The sequence below is a fragment of the Homo sapiens genome, chromosome 12 (genome assembly GCF_000001405.40).
Source record: "Homo sapiens chromosome 12, GRCh38.p14 Primary Assembly".
NCBI lineage: Eukaryota > Metazoa > Chordata > Mammalia > Primates > Hominidae > Homo > Homo sapiens.
In genome coordinates, this window is record NC_000012.12 from 67708326 (window position 1) to 67729713 (window position 21388).

The 21388-nt window shown below is 41.9% G+C and overlaps 1 long non-coding RNA gene across 1 annotated transcript; it reads right to left on the reverse strand.

Moving 5' to 3' along the window:
* Window positions 1-721: 721 nt before the first annotated feature.
* On the reverse strand, window positions 722-21150 carry LINC02421 (long intergenic non-protein coding RNA 2421). The gene is made up of 5 exons (NR_110063.1): window positions 21071-21150; window positions 14054-14388; window positions 10018-10216; window positions 6997-7878; window positions 722-2360 (listed from the first exon to the last, which is right to left on the reverse strand). It is a non-coding gene; the product is annotated as a long intergenic non-protein coding RNA 2421 (long non-coding RNA).
* Window positions 21151-21388: the final 238 nt, after the last annotated feature.

A 21388-nucleotide genomic window follows, 5' to 3' on the forward strand; every position in this document is an offset into this window, starting at 1 on the left:
AATAAATAAAGGATTATCTGTGTCACTCAGTAACCATACACTGATGCTTTCTGGTCCTACCTGTCCTTTGCTTCTAGCACCTACCTCTGGAGAGACCTCTTCAAGAAGCTACAAAATGTATCCTGCCCCCAGGGCCAGCTTCATGGGCATATGACCTGTGCAATCTCATAGGTTCCCATGCTCAGAGGCCCAGGGCTTAGTTTAATGCTCTAGCTGTCCTCTTAATATTCTTAATAATTTTTGAAGAAGGGGCTTGTGTTTTCATTTTGGACTGGGCCTTACAGATTAGGGAACCAGTGATGGCTGCCATTTCTTTCTAACTTAGAATAAAATCCCTGATTTTAAATTCCTTGAAATTTGCTTCATTCCTAATCTTTTGCTTTGAGGATCTCCATGGAGCAAATAGTTATAAATTAATATTTCTGGTTACAATACTTTATGTATATGAACTATTTTAAAGTATATAATATATAATAGTTTCTAGGTAAAGCAGAATGCAAAATAGTGACTTGGTGATTGGGATTACTACTATTTTCCCTCTAAATGATCTTGATTCTGAATTTCTGAAGGAAATATTTCTTTCTATCGGTAACACAAGTGCCAAGCACACTGTGAATAGTCAAGAGAAGACAGTGGAATGTGTGAACTACGTCATGTACATGACATCAATCTATTGTGAGAGGCGTTCTCTTTGGATGATAAAAACAATCTTATAGGGTGATGGTTTTATTTCATGTACTGGTTTTATTTCATTTATTGTGGCTTAAACTAAGGGTATTTGAATTTCAAAACACCAGTTGGTGCAGCTTTCTTCAAATTCTTTTACAGCAACCCATTGAAACCTTAGACTGTCTAGGAAAACAAATATAATTTATGTTTGTTTCCAATCATAATATAGACAAACCTGATATTCTTGTTAAGGGAAGTTAGGTTGTTTGACTTTGTTGGGTGTATTGTTTGGCAATAAAATGGTGCTCAAATACTTTTAAAGTACATATAATTTGTTTTCAATTATAAGTAAAGTTGGCTCACCTTAGATGGGCTTCAGCTATACCTTTGTAAGTGGTGGACATTTCTGCAGGGGGAGGTAAATAGTGGCAATTTGGAATAGAAAGTTTGTGTTAGTTATCTATAGCTGCACAAAAACTTGCCAAAAATGTGTCAGTCTGGTATTTGTCTTTCACACTGTTTCTGAGGGTCAGGAATCTGGGAGCAGCTTAACTAACTTGTTCTGGCTCAGGGTCTTCCATGAAGTGGCAGTCGAACTGTTAGGTCGTCCACTGGGCTGCCCAACTGTCCATGAGACTGGCCACTGGCTTCCACCAGAGCAAGTGATCCAAGGGAAAGCAAGACAGGACCAAATGACATCCATAATCTCTCTTCCAGAGTGGTATCTACCACTCCTCCTGCACTCTACTGGTTACACACCAACCCTGATACAGTGTGGGAGGGGACCATATTAGAGTGTGAGTATTGGAAGCCAGAAATCGCTGGAGACTATTTTAGAGGCTGGCTATCACAGGGTAGGTGGGTACTGGCATATTCCTGAGTTCCGCTGAATCCTCTGCAAAAGAGGGGCAATTTCCAAAGTTTGTCTTCTCAGAAGCCCCACACAGCAATTTGAAGGCACGGAAGACCATACTCTGGTCAATTTCCAAGCCCTGTCAATGTATCTATAGTAGATACTGAATTGGGGGTGACAAGCTTGAAAGAACAAGCATCTACATAAATGAGACCATGTGAAGTGGCCCTACTTACTACACTCTTATTGCCATGTTAAGTGGCACCAGATTGAGGGTACAGGTTGTCTTAGAGAAAGATAAGCAGAAAACAGTATGGTATGACGGATCACCAAGCAGTGGGGAGTGCATTCCAGACTCTATACTGTGAATTTAGGGTTTCGTGCCAGTTTGCAAAGCTTCCTGAAGGTAGCGGGGAAGGCTTGGTGGAGAACTGAATAAAGAGATGACATGGAGAGGTGAAAGGGCCTGAGGGGAGGGTGGAAGCCCTGAGAAACGCAGGAAAGGGCAAGAGGCTGGTTCAGCAGCCTCACAGGCTGGGGTGAGGCTGGCTTCTACTTTCAGGGAAAGGCATAAAGGCTCCCACTCACCTTTTACATCAGGAAGATGAGGGAAAAAGAGTTATCAGTAGAGGAGAAGCCAAAGGTGTGGGCATTTATCAGACACCCACCTTATGCAATGCACTTTCCGTGGGTTTCGATTAACTCCCCACATGACTGGGAGAGGAGAGTGTGGTATTCTCTTCTTTACAGAAGCAAGTCTTGAACCCAGGATCATTTGCATCCAAATCACACACTATTTTCACAAAACATCATTGCTGTTGGGTGCCTCAGCTGGAACCTGTGAAAAACAGACGGGACTCCCTGGTGACTCAGAATGAGAGGAGGGAAGGAGGACACTGTGTAGTCAGCATATGGCCATGGGTAAACTTCCTCCTTTCTGTTCACAGTCCTAGGAGGCAGACTTTGACCCTCATAAAGGCACAGCTGTCCACAATCTTTGCCCGGCCTCTAGTTCTCCAGACAAACCCAGCATAGACCAGATTCAGGGTGTGCTGTGGGAGCCAGGGAGAGGTGCTCCCGTTTCAAAATGGTAGTGTTTGCTCTATGTTACTTTAAGTTTAAAAAGTGATTTCTCTTTTGGAGACGAGAGTGGCAGTTTAAAGAAGACAGAATAATTATGTAGGCAAGAATGTGAAAGGAAGGACCAAATCACAGTGTGGAAAATAAAACCAGAGTGACATTTGCTGCTTAGAGAGTGTAGTGTAGACAGCATGGACAGATAGGCTCAAATTCAGGCTCCACCTTGAAGTGGATTTGTGACTTAAAACAACAAATGTAAGCTCCAGGTCTTACCTGTGAAATGGGGTTGATGATGCCCACCTCTCTAGAACACTGTGTTAAAGGAGGTAACTTTAAATACTGCTATAGGTAGCATGTAGTAGGTGCTATATAAGTTGTAGTTATAAGTTGTAGTTCCTTTTTTTTTTGAGATGGAGTCTCACTCTTGTTGCCCAGGCTGGAGTGCAATGGCATGATCTCTGCTGACCGCAACCTCCACCTCCCGACCTCCCGTGTTCAAGTGATTCTCCTGCCTCAGCCTTCCGAGTAGCTGGGATTACAGGCGCCTGCCACCATGCCCGTCTATTTTTTTTTTTTTATTTTTAGTAGAGACCGGGTTTCAACATGTTGGCCAGGCTGGTCTCGAACTCCTGACCTCAAGTGATCCGCCTGCCTCGGAAGATTAATTTAAAATATTATCTTCTGCTTAGAGTGATGGCAAGCTGGAGGAATTGGGATAATGATGGTGTGTGGGATGGTGTGGGGGAGTGGATGTGGGACAAAATAAAGCTCAGGCAGAAGATGGGATTTCCTTATGGATCTGAAGATGCTTTGTAAAGAATGTGCCATGCACATTATCAGTGGGACCCACCTCATGCCATCAGTGTGTTTGTGGCAGAAGAAGGGAGGATGGAACACAAGGTTCCTAAAACCCAGCCAAATGCTTGTTCCTGCACCATATCATCTTGGGAATGTGGATGCCACATCTCTCTTTTGACATTTCTTGGTTATTTAAAGTTTAGCTGTAGCACAGCCTGCATATGTCTAATGCCTGGTGGGAGAAAGTGAATTAATTAAAGTCCCCTCATGCTGTTATTAATCAGCTTCTCTACAATTTTTATAGGAAGGCCAAGTCATCAAAGAGAAACCAAGACTTTCCTCCGTGGAGAGCTTGCATGGGGAAAGGAGAGAGACTCAATCCTCAGGAGAAAAGTTGAGGAGGTAGAGCTTTGGGGGACAGGGCCATCTGAGCCTGAGAACTGTAAGAAGCTTGCCTCTGGAGGGACCAGGAACATCTTATGGGGTGAGGGAATGCTGGTGGGGAAGATTCAGTCAACCAAAAGGAATCTTGCCTAGCTAGGCTTTCACTATATATGTGGAATGGAAGAGCCTTAAAAAAATAGATGATAGATAAATAGATAGAAAAGATGATGAAGAAAACAAAATTGTTGGGGAAGATTGGAAATTAGTCTCAAAACTACTTTGTAGTTATGTCTCTGTATTTTAGAACTTTTGGCTTAAACTAAAAGGTAGCAAAAATATATAGTTTATGCTCTAATGTAGATTTAATTTTTATCAACAAAAAATTTGTATATGACATTACAGAAGATGGGTGCAGATAAACATTAACCATTTATTTATTAAACTTATCAACTATAATGTAGCAGAATATTTGCGATTACGATTAAAGTAAGGTACCTAAATCAACTGCTTTCAGCTTTGCAATCACCATTCTAGTATCTAATTATGTAGGTCTGGTAAAGATAATTTCCTGCAAAATTCCCCCAGTTTAGAGCTATTCCTTACACTACCCATTGTGCAGACATTTTAAAGGAAAACAGCAAAGAGAAAGCTCAGTGCCAGGAGCGGTGGCTCATGCCTGTAATCCCAGAACTTTGAGAGGCCGAGGCGGGCAGATCACTTGAGATTAGGAGTCTGAGACCAGCCTCGCCAACATAGTGAAACCCCATCTCTACTAAAAATAAACACACACACACACACACACACACACACACAAATTAGCCATGCTTGGTGGCACGTGCTTGTAATCCCAGCTACTTGGGAGGCTAAGGCAGGAGAATTGCTTGAACCTGGGAGGCAGAGGTTGCAGTGAGCTGAGATCGCACCATTGCACTCCAGCCTGGACAACAGAGTGAAACTCCATCTCAAAAAAAAAAAAAAAAGAAAGCTCAGTGCTAACCTAGTGTAAAAGTGTGCATTTAAGTCCTCTAGTTTATGTCATTTGTATAGTATATTCTCTGGGACTATAATCTGTGTTTAAACAAAAACAGCAAGGAGGTACCTCCTCTTTCGCCTTTGGAGCCCCCTGCTCCTTCTGTCTCTGTACGAGGGAGCTTCTTCCGTCTTCTCCCTTCCTTCTTGCCTATTAAACTCTCCACTCCTTAAAACCACTCCACGTGTGTCCGTGTCATTTTTTCTAATTTGACATGAGGACCAAGAACCCTGGTGTTCCTCCACTTATCAGAGCCTTATCATTTTGGTGTGTTGGCCGGGAAAGGAAATTCAATCATCAGACTGGTGTGGAAGCTCGGAATTTATCTTGGGACCTCAAGCGGAGAGGATCACCCAACTCATGGGTATTTGAGGATACAAACCCATGGATGGGCTCGGCTTTAAAGGTCTTATCTGAGATTGCCTGATGGAACAGAGTTTCATCAAAGCCAATCCAAAAGGCCTATGTGGAAATAACCATTCTTGCTGCACTTCATGCAAATAATCAAGCCAAGTATAAGACTAAAGTTCATTCATAATTAGTTTTTACCAAAAATGAGGACTGGAGAGAAAAATTTCGCTCCAAAGCTTATCATGCATTTGTCATTAAATCCTAGTCTCATTAATTGTTTTTAAGCTTTTTTGCCTACATTTTAGATTAACCCTGCTTATTCCTGTGAATCAAGTGGTAATCTCCTGCAGCTTGGAAGAAAGAAAAAGGGATGGGTAATGTAAAAATCTGGACCAATATACTAGTTTTGGGCAATTATCCTGCAAATTCTGCTCGGTAATAAAAGTAAGTAGGGTACCAATAACCCGGAGGTTTCTTTGTTTGGGAAAATAAAACCAAGGCTTCATAAACCACCAACGGGAAATTCTGTATCTGGCAAATAAAACTTTACATGGAAATTATCTACTACACCACTCTTGTGGGAATTGCTATACTCCTTCTACTATTTGCAATAGGGTTATACACAGTAGCACCTTCTAACTGAGATATTAGACAAAGTTTCCATTGCTGTTGTATTTTGCTTATTATCTTTATAGCAGGGATAATAGTTATGGACAAAAAGGAAGCATGAAAGTTTTACTATCACTGAGTCTGCTAGGACTTCTTTTTGGGTCTAGTGATGCACTTTTAAATGAAACATGCTGCTTTTGGATTAACATCTCTAGTATAGTAAAGGAAAATCTAAGCAGACCCTTAGAAACTGGGTCTACCCAACATGGTGATTCCCGCAGCCTTCTTGCCCTTGGCACACGTGTTCCTGGCAACATGACCGCCCCCACATATCCCCACGTGTGTAGAACATCATGGTGCCCTGCATTTGCATATTAAAAGGCTAGGGTGGGAGGGCCAGCTCTTTCCAGGGCCACGTGAATGACATGCCTGGTCAAACCAATCCCCTGAGCCCTGTGCAAATGAGACACAACCTCCTCCAGCCTCTGCATATTATACCTGGCTGGTGTCCACCACACTTGCCACCTCCTTTCGTGGCTTTGGAGCCCCCCACCCTCTGTCTCTGTACTGGGGAGCTTCTTCCTTCTGTTTTCTCCCTTCCCTCTTGCCTATTAAACCCTCTGCTCCTTAAAACCAAAACCAAAACAAAACAAAAACAAACAAAAAACATAACAATGAAAAACTAGGGAATTAACCTCTTTGTTTACTCGTTGTAAACAAACCATCAGATAATCTAAACCACAAGAAGCTTTGTCTCTCTGGCAGGTTTATTTATCTGAGTACATGAATCATCCTCTCACCTCTTCACCCTCCCTTGCCAGAGCAATGTGATTTTAATGGTGTCCAGATGTCTTGGAGGTATTTGCTTGTTTCACTGTACCTTACACTCAGGTTAACCTTACACTCAGGTTAAAGAAAAGGCCTGATGGTTCCTTTTTTATTATTTAAAGCCAAAGCTGATGATTCCATAAGTGAAAAACACTTGCAAAATATATAGTAAGAAAATGAACGGATGTTACATTTAGATTCCAGAAGAGATTCCAGAAGAATTTTAGAAACATTTTGGAGGTGGGGAAAGTGGAGAAAAGAATGTGTATTTATTCACAGGACTTATGTGACTTACCTACAAGAAGTTGTAAATATTTCCCTTCAAAACAAGAATATATGCCTACTATATCCCTCTGTGATTTATAAGTGAGAGGTTTGAAGGGGAGAGACTCACGTGGCATGGGAGACTTCCTGGGGCTCATGATGGGGAGGGCATCAATCATCAAATCAGATGAAAATTCCTGAAGGCATTGACCTTTAGTGAATTCTAGGTCTGGTATCAATGGCTGCCTCTTCCTCGAGTTGCTGGAGTCCAGTGGCTGCAATCCTGGGATGCACAGTGTTCTCTCTGGTCCCACTGAAGTGCTTCTCTGAAGAAGACAAGTTGAAGTGGTTCCCAAGAATGAACCCTAGCTGATGGGACTCTTGCATTTCAAGCATGGTAGACAGATACAGTTTGTCATTCCCTCAAAGACACTCCTTCGTCTGAGAGACTAGGTTTTTCCAGCTTCCCTGTGGCTAGGTATGATTTTGATCTTGTGACTACATTCTGGCCAATGAGATGTAAACAGAAATGTTTCTCAGCTTCTCACACCTTTTCTAAGAGAAAACCGTGTCCTTTTTCTTTCCCCACTTTGTGGACTGGAACATGGACCACTCCAGTGATGGCAAAGAGGGAAGAGGGAGGCTGAGTCTAGACCCTCGAGGACTTTTTGAGACTGCCGTAACAGCAGTTGTGGACTTTTTACACCTACTGATTTCATTTAGGTAAGATAGAAATGCATGTCTATCTTGTTTAGGCCACTGTTATTTTGAGTTTTCTGGTCCTTGCAGCTAAACTAGGTAAACAGCAGGATTTCATTTTTGTTTGTTTGTTTTGTTTAGGCCAAGATTTTTAATACACCAGTGACAATACAGAGATACTGACACGATAGGCAAATGGGAGAGTACGGAGTTTGGTCGTAGCCCTGTTCCTGGGATTCTAAAGCAGTTTCCTGATCCATGTCAGTGGGTCTCCTGGGGTCACGCACAAGTCTCTTTTAGGGCCAGGCTGCTCCTGTTAGCAGTAAAAAAAAAAAAAAAAAAAGTAATAAAAGGTAACATGTCAGCAATTCCTTAAATATATTTTATTTGAAGCCAGTTAAGAGAGCTGGTGGAATTCATAATAAGTTCTGCCCTTTAGGATAGTTATTTCTGAGAAGAGAAGAAGGAAGTTGAGAATTAAACATATTCCAAGTAGATATCCTTCAAAGAGGTTAGGGAATGCAGGAAAAAAAATACAAGACTGTCTCATAAGCAAAGAATTGTTATTCAAAATTTATAAAAATAGAAGACAGGAAGAGTGTATACCCTACTATTCAGATAAAACAAACTCAACAAAGATTGTTGCAAATATGGCAAAACCCCAGCTCACTGCAATTTTTGCTTTTTCTTGTGTCCTAGAACTTCTTTTATGCCAATGATAGTAAGAATGGTTCTGCATTAGTTCCTCCCCTGAGCTGTTTGCTTGTCATTGGGAACTCTCAGCCACAGTTCACATCTCATCCTTAACTAGGACCCTCCTTTTTCCTTTGCTTCATTTAGCACAGGGGGTGGCAAACTATGGCCCATTGGCCCGACCACAGTCTGTGGGATAAGAATGGTATTTATATTTTTGAATGGTTCAAATAGTTTAAAAAAGAATAACATTTTGTGACACAAAAATTATATGAAGCTAACATTTCAGAGTCTATAAATAAAGTTTTATTTGAACACAGCCTTGCCTGTTCATTTACACATTGTCTATGGCTGTCTTCACACTCCAGTGACAAAGTTAAATAGTTGCAACATAACCTGCAAGGCCTGAAAAGCCTAAAATAGTTATTATTGGCACTTTACAGAGAAAGTTTGCCAACCTCGGATCTAGTATGATGTGACATCTTAGTTTTGGAATTCAGAAGTTGAATTCTGGAATTTGAGAGCTGAAAGACTATTTAGAATGCCTCTTGTCAACATCCCTGACACATACCTGGCTAAAGTCAGCAGTCTTATTTTTTGTACAGCTGTTCTATTCTTAGAAATATTTACTTAAAAGGGAATCCTCTGATGTTCATTTATTTGTCCTAGTTTTACTCTCAGCATGGCCAGGGGTTGGCAAATAATAGGTGCTTTAAACTATTTAATTATTTGCCGAGCACAGTGGCTCACACCTGTAGTCCCAGCACTTTGAGAGGCCAAGGTGGGAGAATTGCTTAAGGCCAGGAGTTCAAGACTAGCCTGGGCAACACAGGGAGACCCCATCTCTACAAGAAATAAAAAAATTAGCCAGGTGTGGTGGTGCTTGCCTGTAGTCCTAGCTACTTGAGAGGCAAAGGTAGGAGGATCGCTGAAACCCAGGAGGTCAAGGCTGCAGTGAGCTGTGATTGTACTACTGTACTCCAGCCTGGGTGACAAAGCAAGACCCTGTCTCAAAAAACTAAAAAAAGGGCCGGGCACAGTGGTTCACACCTGTAATCCCAGCACTTTGGGAGGCCAAGGCGGGCAGATCACGAGGTCAGGAGATTGAGATCACCCTGGCTAACAAGGTGAAACCCCGTCTCTACTAAAAATACAAAAAAAAAAAAAAAATTAGCCAGGTGTGGTGGCGGGCACCTGTAGTCCCAGCTACTCCGGAGGCTGAGGCAGGAGAATGGCGTGAACCCGGGAGGCAGAGCTTGCAGTGAGCCGAGATCGTGCCCCTGCACTCCAGCCTGGGTGACAGAGTGAGACTCCATCTCAAAAAAAAAAAAAAAAAAATTAATACTAACTTAGCACTTACTACATGATACAATTAGTCTAAGAACTTTCCAAGTAACGCACAGAAGACTATGAGGTAGAAGAACATTTTACAGGGAAGGATGCTGAGTCACAGAGAGGTTAATTAAATTTTCCAAGCACACGCATCTTGCAAGAGGCAGAGCTGTGAGTAAAACTCAGTCTGGCTCTGGAGTCCAGGTTCTCTGCTGCTCTATTTACCAAAGAGTTAACGAATCAACATTTGATTGTTGCATTGTATGTGTCAGTTTTTCAAATATGTGGAGATGCCTACCAAATTCCTAAAAAAAGGATTTACAGTTCCTCCAAAAGCTCAAGCCATATAATGCTGCAATATGAGAAGCAAAGGAGAATAGTCTCGCTACACTTTCTGTTTTCTCTAATTGTTCTCATTTCTACGTACCCCCAGGATAGTGTGTCTGGAATTGGTGGGTTTTTGGTCTCACTGACTTCAAGAATGAAGCCGCGGACCCTCGCGGTGAGTGTTACAGCTCTTAAGGTGGCGCGTCCGGAGTTTGTTCCTTCTGATGTTGGGATGTGTTCGGAGTTTCTTCCTTCTGGTAGGTTCGTGGTCTTGCTGGCTCAGGAGTGAAGCTGCGGACCTGCACAGTGAGTGTTACAGCTCGTAAAGGCAGTGTGGACTCAAAGAGCGAGCAGCAGAAGGATTTATTGCAAAGATCGAAAGAACAAAGCTTCCACAACGTGGAAGGGGCCCCAAACAGGTTGCCACTGTTGGCTCCGGCAGCCTGCTTTTATTCTCTTATCTGGCCCCACCCATATCCTGCTGATTGGTAGAGCTGAGTGGTCTGTTTTGACAGGGTGCTGATTGGTGCGTTTACAATCCCTGAGCTACACACAAAGGTTCTCCACATCTCCACTAGATTAGTTAGATACAGAGTGTCAACACAAAGGTTCTCCAAGTCCCCACCAGAGTAGCTAGATACAGTGTCGATTGGTGCATTCACAAACCCTGAGCTAGACACAGGGTGCTGATTGGTGTGTTTACAAACCTTGAGCTAGATACAGAGTGCCAATTGGTGTATTTACAATCCCTGAACTAGACATAAAGGTTCTCCAAGCCCCACCAGAGTAGCTAGATACAGAGTGTCCATTGGTGCATTCACAAACCCTGAGCTAGACACAGGGTGCTGATTGGTGTATTTACAATCCCTGAGCTGGACATAAAGGTTCTCCACGTCCCCACCAGACTCAGGAGCCCAGCTGGCTTCACCCAGTGGATCCCGCACAGGGGCTGCAGGTGGAGCTGCCTGCCAGTCCCGCGCCGTGCGCCCGCACTCCTCAGCCCTTGGGTGGTTGATGGTACTGGGCGCCGTGGAGCAGGGGGCGTTGCTCATCGGGGAGGCTTGGGCCGCACAGGAGCCCACGGAGGGGGTGGGAGGCTCAGGCATGGCGGGCTGCAGGTCCCGAGCCCTGCCCCGCGGGAAGGCAGCTAAGGCCCAGTGAGAAATCGAGCGCAGCGCCGGTGGGCTAGCACTGCTGGGGGACCCAGTACACCCTCCGCAGCCGCTGGCCCGGGTGCTAAGCCCCTCATTGCCCGGGGCCGGCAGGGCCGGCCGGCTGCTCCGAGTGCGGGGCCGCGAAGCCCCCGCCCACCCGGAACTCCAGCTGGCCCGCAAGCGCTGCGCGCAGCCCCAGTTCTAGCTCGCACCTCTCCCTCCACACCTCCCTGCAAGCTGAGGGAGCCGGCTCTGGCCTTGGCCAGCCCAGAAAGGAGCTCCCACAGTGCAGCGGTGGGCTGAAAGGCTCCTCAAGTGCCGCCAAAGTGGGAGCCCAGGCAGAGGAGGCGCCGAGAGCGAGCCAGGGCTGTGAGGACTGCCAGCACGCTGTCACCTGTCAATAGTAAGTGGTTTGAAAACCATTTAGTATAAAGAAAGGTAGAAGAATCTAGGAATATTTAACCTGGAGAAGACAACTCTTGTTAGGAAAATGGCTGGAGCAATTCTAGGCTTTCCATGATATTCATAAAATCCAGAGCAAAAAAGAGCATTTCCCCAGTGCCTACCTCTTAAGAACAAAGAAACTTATTTCCTCAAAATTTCCGGGAAAGTTTTGGTGTTAGTCAGGGTCTTTCAAGAAGCAGATGTTAAGATGGACTGATATGTGCTCGGATTTTACTAGGGAAAATGAATGTGTAAATGGAAATAGGCAGGGAGCTGGGAAGGCTGCAAGAGCGTCAGGCACTGATGGAAATTTGACTTCAATTAAAGGAAAGGGAGAGAAAGGCCGAATGGAAGTGCCTTATACTGTGCAGTCGAAGCAAATCTTAGGGGAATCCTTCACCCCAAATCAGCTGACAAAGGAGTTGTGTCTCCCAGAAATTAGTCTGTCTTAGTATTCCTTAGGATTCACAAACTTGGGGATGGATTCCAAAGTGCAGCAGCTGGGGCCCTTGGTCAATTATGCTGCCATAGAAGGAGGTGTTCTGGGTGCATTCTCGTGACTGCTACTTCCCTCCTCACGTATCATTGGTCTATTATTAAATCAGTCCTTGTCTCAGGGGATTAATGACCTCATTGGCTGAGGCCTGAATTCTTGAGCCAATCACCCTGGCAAGGGGGCTGGAATTTCCCATAGGCCCATTAAGTCTACTGTCTGGGCCAGTTCCCCTGAAGCATGTGGGTTGTGGGGAGGAGGGACTGATGTCTAAATAAAAAATCTGGATATCTTTAGGAAGGGAAAAGGGAAGTCTCATCTATGATACTGAAATTTGAATCCCTATCTATCTGAGGGCAAAGTCTGTGTTTATTTATCTGCAACACGACACCTCTTAAAATTTATGGTGGCTACAGCTTTTAAAAGTTGTGGTTTTGGGAGCAGGAGGATGGGGTCAAATTCTAAGCCACTGAAAATCATCCTGTTATCTATGCCATATGTGTTGTCAAGCCTGGTTTTAAAGGCTTCATAAATTGTCGATGAGCTGGCATGTGCAGTAGAAATATAACCATCATAATAGCTAATAATTTTAGAGCAATAATGATGCGTCTGATACTGTATTTTATATCCATTCTCACACTTACTGCCCATGGTACCTATTAGATAAGCATCCTTACTAGTTGCAGTTTATCTAGGAGGACACTGAAGTCTTAGGGGGTTAAGGAACTTCCCTGAGAACACAGTTAAGAAGGTAACTGGCTGATTGTCTGATTGCAAAGTTGTAACAGCTCCTGTCCCTCCTCACAATTCTTACTCTATTGCTTCTCCAGCTTGTTTCAACAATGCTTTTAAACAATAAGTTTGCTTTTCAGGAGCCATCCTCTTCCAGGTGAGAGTGGGAGAGCTTTATGTTCTCTCAGGCACTGTATTAGTGGCACTCTACCAACATGGGCTTGCGATGGCCATTGAAGGCTCTTAAGACTGGCACAATGCCAACGGGAAGGGCAGGTTGCCCTCAATGTCCAGGAATTGTAGGTAGCCGAATACAGTGCAGTGCTTTGGAATTACAGCACTTGGCTGACCTTGTAAAGGGAACTGTTTTCCTTATCCATTTTGGTTGCTTAGCTATGTGTTAGTACACACCAAGATCATGTGGAGCTGGCACTTCAGGAACCGAAAGAAAGACAGACAAGGACCAAAATAACAAGGGCCATGCAGAGAATTCCACTGGTCATCTCAGTGACAACTCATATGATTACAGTAATCTTTACTGTGGGTGTGCCCTGCTTTAGGGAACATATGTTAACAACAGATAAATGAAGGAGTGATTATTCACTTTAAAAAGGCATAATGAATTTACAGAAGGATTCACTGGAAGAGTCTTTTAAATATCAATGAAATGCAAGTAAAATGCAATTTATTATACACAATATCATGTAATATGTTTTCAAGAGTACAGTCATTGGGTTAAGGGCTGTTTACATAATTATATTTTGAAGAAATATAATTCAGATAGCTTCCACAAGATCAAATTTCAATATATTTTCATATGTCTATACATCAAGATATATTCATTAGGGCCCTACTATGTGCAAGGCACTATAATATATTGACTCAGTAGGTCTAGGGTGGGTCCCAGATTCTGCCTTCCTAACAAGTCCCCAGACCACACTTTGAGTAGCGAGGGCTTCTAGAGATTCAGGCCCTCAGCTTCCACGGCTACTGATGGTCACTGGGTGTTGTGGTCTGTGCAGCTGGAGTGAATCCCTATTACCGTAATTGTTCCAGTCTCTAAGACCTGAGTGAGAGCACCTGGTTGGCAGCACAGGCAACACACCTGCACTTTATTCCTTGGAGAGTAGAAGCTTGCTATCTGCTCTCTTCCACTTCTGTAGTGGAAGGTAGGCCCTGCTTCCCACCATGACTCACAATAGAAAAAATCCCTAAACAAGTGCAGATGCTGAGCACCTAAAAAGATGATAAATGTCCACTGTATGAACTATGCGAATTTATAAGTAAAAACTTCATTTAGTTATGTAGCTCACCTTTGCATGATCCATTGTGCAGATGTGGAAGTCCCAGGAGCCTGGTCAGCCACATGATTCTAGCCTTGGACTCTTCCCCCTCCAATCTCAAATGGAAGAAATGGCTCTCCTTTGTCACATGCCCTTTCTTATCTGGCATGCAAAATGCTCCACATTCCAATTTTCATTTGCTTTATTTGTTTTCCATTTAACTGCAGTTTTTTCTTGTGTCAGGAAGTTTTTTCTCTGGATTTAGTTTGTGAGAGATGATGAACTCCCCAGGTATTTAGTTCATCCACATGTTAGGATTTACATGGCAAGTTCTCCAATATTAAAAAATAAAGGTAAATCTTATGCTGCAGTTAAGAAGAATGAGAAATGTCAAAGTTTACAACTGTTTGTTCCCCTTTTAGGTTCACTATCCCCATCTAAACTGTAAGCTGACTTTTATTAAAATGTAACATTTACCTTCCCAAAGTGAATTTGTCTTCCTATAATAAGAATAGGAAAATATCACAATTTACTGCAAAAAAATAGCAAATACAGAAAAAACCTAAGTAATTTTTAATAAAAACCATAATTTTAAAATAATGCCTTTCTTAAATATACAATACTCTAACAGAGGCCAAAAAATTGGCATGAGAATTCAAATAAAATCTAATATCCTATGAGAAGAAGATATTGGACAAAGATGCTTGTCAAAACACTGCAATATAGACTTTGATTTCCACATATGGTTATTCATTACCAGTCACTGAAGGGCAGGAATCATAAACAGACATTTCTTGCCTGGAAAGTGAAGACAGTAGGTTTAGATTTTGTTAAGTTAGACAGAAAAAAGGGTACTCAGGACTATCAGTCACTTGGTTGAATTTCTCCACTTTTTAATCAGGTGTAGATATAGCCCATCAATAAAAGGGTCCAACTGCTGGAGTGGACATGAATTGTGGGAGGCTGGATACACTGTCCTAGATGAGGCATGATGCCACAGGGTAGGCAGAGAAGCCTTTCTGTCTTTTCTTTTCTTCCCTAGACAAACAGGAAATGTTTAGCTCACCTAATTTAAAACTAACTATGGGTAACTTCAACATTTACTTCATAAATACAGCAAATTTGAAACGCTTTGGACTCGAGGTCCCAGAACCTGATTTTAATTTTGGTTCTGGGCCAGGCGTGGTGGCTCACACCTGTAATCCTAGAACTTTGGGAGGCTGAGGCGGGTGGATCGCTTGAGCTCAGGAGTTCAAGACCAGCCTGGGCAACATGGTGAAACCCCATCTCTACAAAAAATACAAAAATTAGCCAGGCATGGTGATGCCTGTAGTCCCAGCAACTTGGGAGGCTGAGGTGAGAGGATGGCTTGAGCCGGGGAGGCGGAGGTTGCAGTGAGCCATGATCGTGCCACTGCACTTACAACCTGGTCAACAGAGCCAGATCCTATCTCAAAAAATAAAAATGAAACAAAATAAAATAAATTTTAGTTCTGACATCCTTTCTTCATCTGAAAAGGAGAGGGTCAGAGTAAATGATTATAATGATTTTTCCTCTAAGATTGTGTGAGTCTAATGACTAAAATGATTTATATCTACAATGTACTCTGTTATGAGAGATACAGGATTAGGACGGGACTTGAACTGGAGATGGAAAACTTTAAGATGTCAGAAATACTTGGAGAAACATGGGAAATATGGGAAGATAGGTAGGTAATAAGAGGAACCTTAGTCAAAAATATCCTCTTATTGCTTCTCCCATTCCTTGGGGCTGTGGAATGAGGGACATATTTTGCCACAATCATTAGCTGATTCAATGTTGTTTGCAGCTCTAATATCTGTTTCTTGAGAAGCTTTCTTCTGAATGAGACAGTCACAGCAGCAACTCGCCACAAGGAGAAATGATTTTCTGGTTATTGGTGGAGGTAGCCAAAGCACCATCACGCCACGGGCAAGATAAAATCAAGTCTAAGATTGCAGATTCTCCATCCTTGATTTTTAAGATTCTCCTCTTAAATAAAGGACATGCAATCACCATACATGGACCTATGAAATGTGATTCAGAACCAGGGAAGATGTAAGAATCAGGAACTAAACATTAGCCACTGCCGTGAAGCATCTAAATGAAGGTGTCTGCTTTCTGGTTTTCTACGTCATATTTTTCAATGTGTTGAAAAAAGAAAAAGGGGAGTCTGGCTTTCAAGAAAATAATAGTCTTAAAATTCTCTGCTAGGTGAGAGTTACATGGATCTGGATGGATTTACCTATTGTTTTTCTTTTGTGGCTTGAACCATCCAGTATAGCAAGCAGAAAGGAATTTTATTATTCTGCTTTGACACTGGAAACAGTAGCTCAGCACAACACTTCCTACAGGCCCTCAGTGTGTCCAAGTCTTTCGTATACATTATTTAGCACTCACAAAAGCTCTGTGAGATTGGTGAAATGGCCCCCATTTTGATGTGAATATATTATAGCAACTCTGAGATGTATGTCAAGGTTCCCTAGGGATCCCACTCAGGTCTCCTCACTTCAAGTCAGATATATTTTGAGCCACTACTCAGCTTCTGGACTCATCTGGAAAGAGGCATGGCTGTGAAAAGAGAATGGACTTGGCTCAAGAGCAAGTCAAGAAACCAACCAGGTAAAGACTGAAAACATTGAGGCTAGCCCAGCCTCAAGACATCAGTGTATATTGGGACCATTAATTGTACAGCGTCTGCTGGGACAATGATGTGCACATCACAGCCTAGTGGGTTGAATAAATGAGTGAATGATACATGTATTTGCCTCTCTCTCTGGAAGGCAGAGTAAATATATGGAAGTTTGTCCAAAAGAATGAATATTTCTAAACATAAATTGAAATGCTAATTTCGAATAGATCCCTTTGCCTTCCTTTCTGAAAATGAATTTTGATCTAACTAATTAGATTGTTCCTATAACTTAGGTAAATTTTTCAACCTTATTTCAAGTGTTAACTTTTGAGGACTGGAATATAATGATGAGTGACCACATGCCCTGATAAATCTTGAGCTTACCAGCATAAAAAGGAAACTGCATAAGCTTGTGTAATTTATCAGAATTACCAAAAGAAAACTGGCACGCAAACCAACAATTTTCCATTAGCTTGAATTGTTTGCTAGATAGGAAAGTCAGTTAAGAACAAATCTTCATATTCTAATAAAGATTTTACTTCGCATAGGTAGCTTTACATGTTATCAAGGAATGGCACTCCCTTTCTAATAGATTAAAGGCATCAAACAAAGGGTTTACAATTGAACAGATCCAGTGCTATCAGAATTTGCTTTCTCAAGTGTAAAATATTTCAGACCATAGATAAGAGTCAGGGTAAAGATAAAAGTAGTATCTACAAATAGGTTAAAAAATTAAAAACTTGAAGGAAGTAAAGACCCAAAAAACTTTTAATTATAAATTATTGAAAACAAACACCAACCATGAAGGAATAAGGTTAAAAAAGTATGGCATATCAATTCAGTGGATATATGATATTATGAATTATGATGCTGATGTCTCTCTATTTTTATACATGTTTCCATGTCATTCAATTTATGCATCATACTCTTATCTAGAAGAGAAAGAAGGACTTAATGAGAATCACAGATGCAGAGCTACATGTATTCGCATAGAAAAATGTCCAAAAGTATTGTTGACTAGAAAGGCCAAGTTGAGGACATTATGTCCAATCGCATTTACATGTACATGTTCATAGAAAGAAGTCCCAAAGGCAAAATGTAAATCTTATCTTCAGGACAAGATTTTGTCTTCAGCAAAATATAAATAAATGGTGGCTGTCTTCAGAGAAGGGGAGTTCAAGTGATTTCTACTGTCTTCTTTGTGCTTTTCTGCACTATTTGAATTTTTATATGAAGCATATATCACATTTTGGAAGAAAGAAAGCTAGACGGCATTAAAAAAAAAAAGCAGAGTAATAATCATTAGCAGTAGTGGCAGCAGTTGGTTTGAAAAAGTAAAAACCTTTCTCAACAGAATAACAGATTTGTAAAGGCACTTCAATTTGGTGGCCTTGTGTTAAATTATTTTTTCTACCACTTGAATGGTGTGTATAAATATAGGCTCTGAATGGAATTCCACCAAGATATTAAGATAAAAAGCAGAATATAAAGATGAAATTTCAGCCAAACATCTGAAACCTTAGTCTAAATAATACCAAATGTTTATCTGTTTTCTATCATGTACGAAAAGTACATAAATAATGAAGTTTTCATTTGTCATGCAGACATTGTTAGAATTATCGAGCTACAGCCCAGAGGGAAGGGAATGAGGTAAGGGCGTTTTATTTTGCTCCTGTTTTTTTGGAGACATTTGTAAGCAAAAGAAGTAACAGGGTCAGTAACATCTCAAACACAAAGGAAGTTTCAATGCACAGGACATCATCAGATATATGTTTCAGACCTAGTGACAAAATTCAAACAGCACTTCATTGTTAGAAATAGAAGATTACCCAATGCTCAAATCCCAGTTTGATGCTCAAGAGATACAAGGATATAGGGAAAAAACCAAACTGTTGCTTCCTGCTCTCTACTCTGTACTCTCGCAGTCAGTCAACACTTCTGACACCAGGTGTGTGGGTGTTTTTCTAACATACCAACCGAAACAAGTCTGCAAGGAATTCTCCTGTGGGCACTGGCTGGGTATGTTCTAATTCAATCCAATTATGACACTATCTACCTAGAGATAGCATCAGATACCACAGGTTGATGGCTCAGTCCCACAGGATTACCCCCCTCTTCAGATGCCAGTCACGAGCAAGTTGTGACCTGTGCTTCTGACCCATGGCACCTCCTTTGGTTTGATTAATTTGCTAGAGCAGCTCACAGAACTAAGAAAAATGCTTTACTTATGTTTACTGGTTTATTGATATAGAATATAATATAGGACACAGGTGAACAGCCAGATGGAAGAGATGCGTGGGGTAAGGTTTGGGGGAAGAGGTGGGAGCTTCCATGCCTTCCCCATGCGCACCACCTTTGGGGAACCTCCATGTGTTCAGCTATTTGGAAGCTCTCTGAACCCTGTCCTTTGGGGTTTTTATGGAGACTTTATATGTAGACATGATTGATTACCATCATTGGCCATTGCAGATCCACTCAACCTTCAGCACCTTTCTCCTCCCCAAAGGTTGGGGAGTGGGCTGAAAGTCCTAACCCTCTCATTGTGTTTTGGTCTTTTCAGTGAGCAGGCCCATCCTGAAGCTACCCAGGGGCTGGCAGCTACTGGCCATCTCATTAGCATACAGTGACACTATTGTCACTCTGGAGACCCCAGAGGTTCTAGGAGTTGTGTGTCAGGAAGCCGGGAGGAAGACCAAAGATATATATCTTATTAGAAACCACAATATCTCAAGAGGTTTAAGATTTAAATGGTTATCTTTCACTTTATCTATTCAGAAATTTGGTCTGCAAGAGTTTAATGTTATAAAGATTAGCAGACAACTAGAGAGAACTAGATTTTGGATTAAGCAGGAACAACTCTCCTCCCTGACGATTTATTATTCTCTGCCTTGAATAAGCACTGGCATTAGAAAGCTAAACCACAGAACACATACAGAATATTAGTATTCAGTAAATAATCATGATTGCAGTCACCAAGTGCAGACAGTCTGCAGTGGGAGTGTTCCCGGTCTCCCTTAAAATACTGCAGCTGTTACATTAATGGGTGAGGATCCAGGGTAATATCAAGGAACAAAGATTGTTGAGTTTGATTAGTTCTAGTGGATGTCATCTTCAAAATGCAACTAATTTGATAATACCAGAGCATTTCTGAGGGAAGAAGGAAAACAAGGATAATGTTATGTAAATAGACATTATTATTTTCATCTCTTTGGATGAAACCGTTGACATAAACCATTCTAGAAGCAAAATGAAGCAAGGAAGTGAGAAATGAGTGAAGCAGCCCTTTCTGTCTGTAAATAATTGCAGGGTGGGCTGACAGCTCTGGGCCAGAGGCTGTAGAGTGGGCCCAAAGCAGGCTGGCTTCCCCCTAGTAATTGTCATAGTAGCTAGCATTTATGGATGTTTAATATATTCCAGGCCCTTTCCTAGCTGTTTCACATGGATTATGTAATTTAATCTTCACTGCCATCCTGCAAAGTAAGTACTATTATCACTGTCATTTTACAGATATGAAAATTGAAGCTTGGGAACGTTAGGCAACCTCTCAAGGTCACACAGCAAGGAGCGGAGCTGGCATTTGGACTCAGGCCTACGGCCTCCTGAACACACTACATTCTATTGTTTCTAAAAGCTTGCTAGGTAAGAAGGGCCTTATTATTTATAATCCACCAGGGGCTTCATCCTCTAGTTTCAAATTGAGCCGCTTTTTTTCTAATTTGATGGCTTAGAAATAGTCACTGTCAAGCCAAGACCATTTTTATGCTGTTGTGTTTGAAATACTCTCCTTCCACCTGTCTCCTTTCCCACCTCCCCTAGTTCTTAAAGCTGGTCTACAGAAGAATTAAATATCTACCTAATTTGAAAACAAGAGGGAAGGATGGCCCTGGAAATGCTTAGAACTAAAATTTGGGTTTTGAACCTACTGGCAGTATTCTTGCCTTACTCAGTCTAGTGACTTGAAGATGGCCAGTGGACATTAAATGTTCCTGGAGACTTGAATCACTATTAAAGCCCAACTCATCCTTGGTTCAAATTCTTTTATAAAATAAGAACAAAGTTTACGCAGGTAGTAAATAAGTGGTAATGCATATTCAGCACTCAAGTCAGGCTTGATTATCTCCACTAACCTAGAGAAAGGTTAATATGAGAGTGTGCATCCAATTTTCCTGCTCCCATTGAGGGAAATAAGGTGGTTTCATCTAGACGTTTGAGCCTCAACTCTTTCTACTTTTTAGTAAATAATTTGTTTGTTCTCATTCTTTGGAAGATGAATTCTTTTTGAAAACATTGACCTCTTTTATCGCTTTTGGTTGTCTATTGTCTTTGTCCATTGTCTGTTGCTGTAACAGAATACATGAGACTAGGTAATTGTTTTAAAAAAGAAATTCATGTCTTACAGTTCTGGATGCTGGGAAGTCCAAGGTCGAGGGTCTGCCTCTGGTTGCTTCTGGTGAGGGCATTGTGTTGTGTCATAACTGGCAGAAAGCATCACAGAGAGCCAAACTGGCTTTTATAACAGACCCGCCCTCTGATAACTAAACCAAGCCTATGATAACACATTAATCCATTAACCCATTAATCCAGTAATCCATGAATGGATTAGTCCGTTCATGAGAGCAGAACCCTCATGACCCAATCACTTCTTAAAGGCCCCATTTATTAATATGGTTACACCGGGGATTGTGTTTCAGCTTGAATTTTGGAGGGGAAAAACA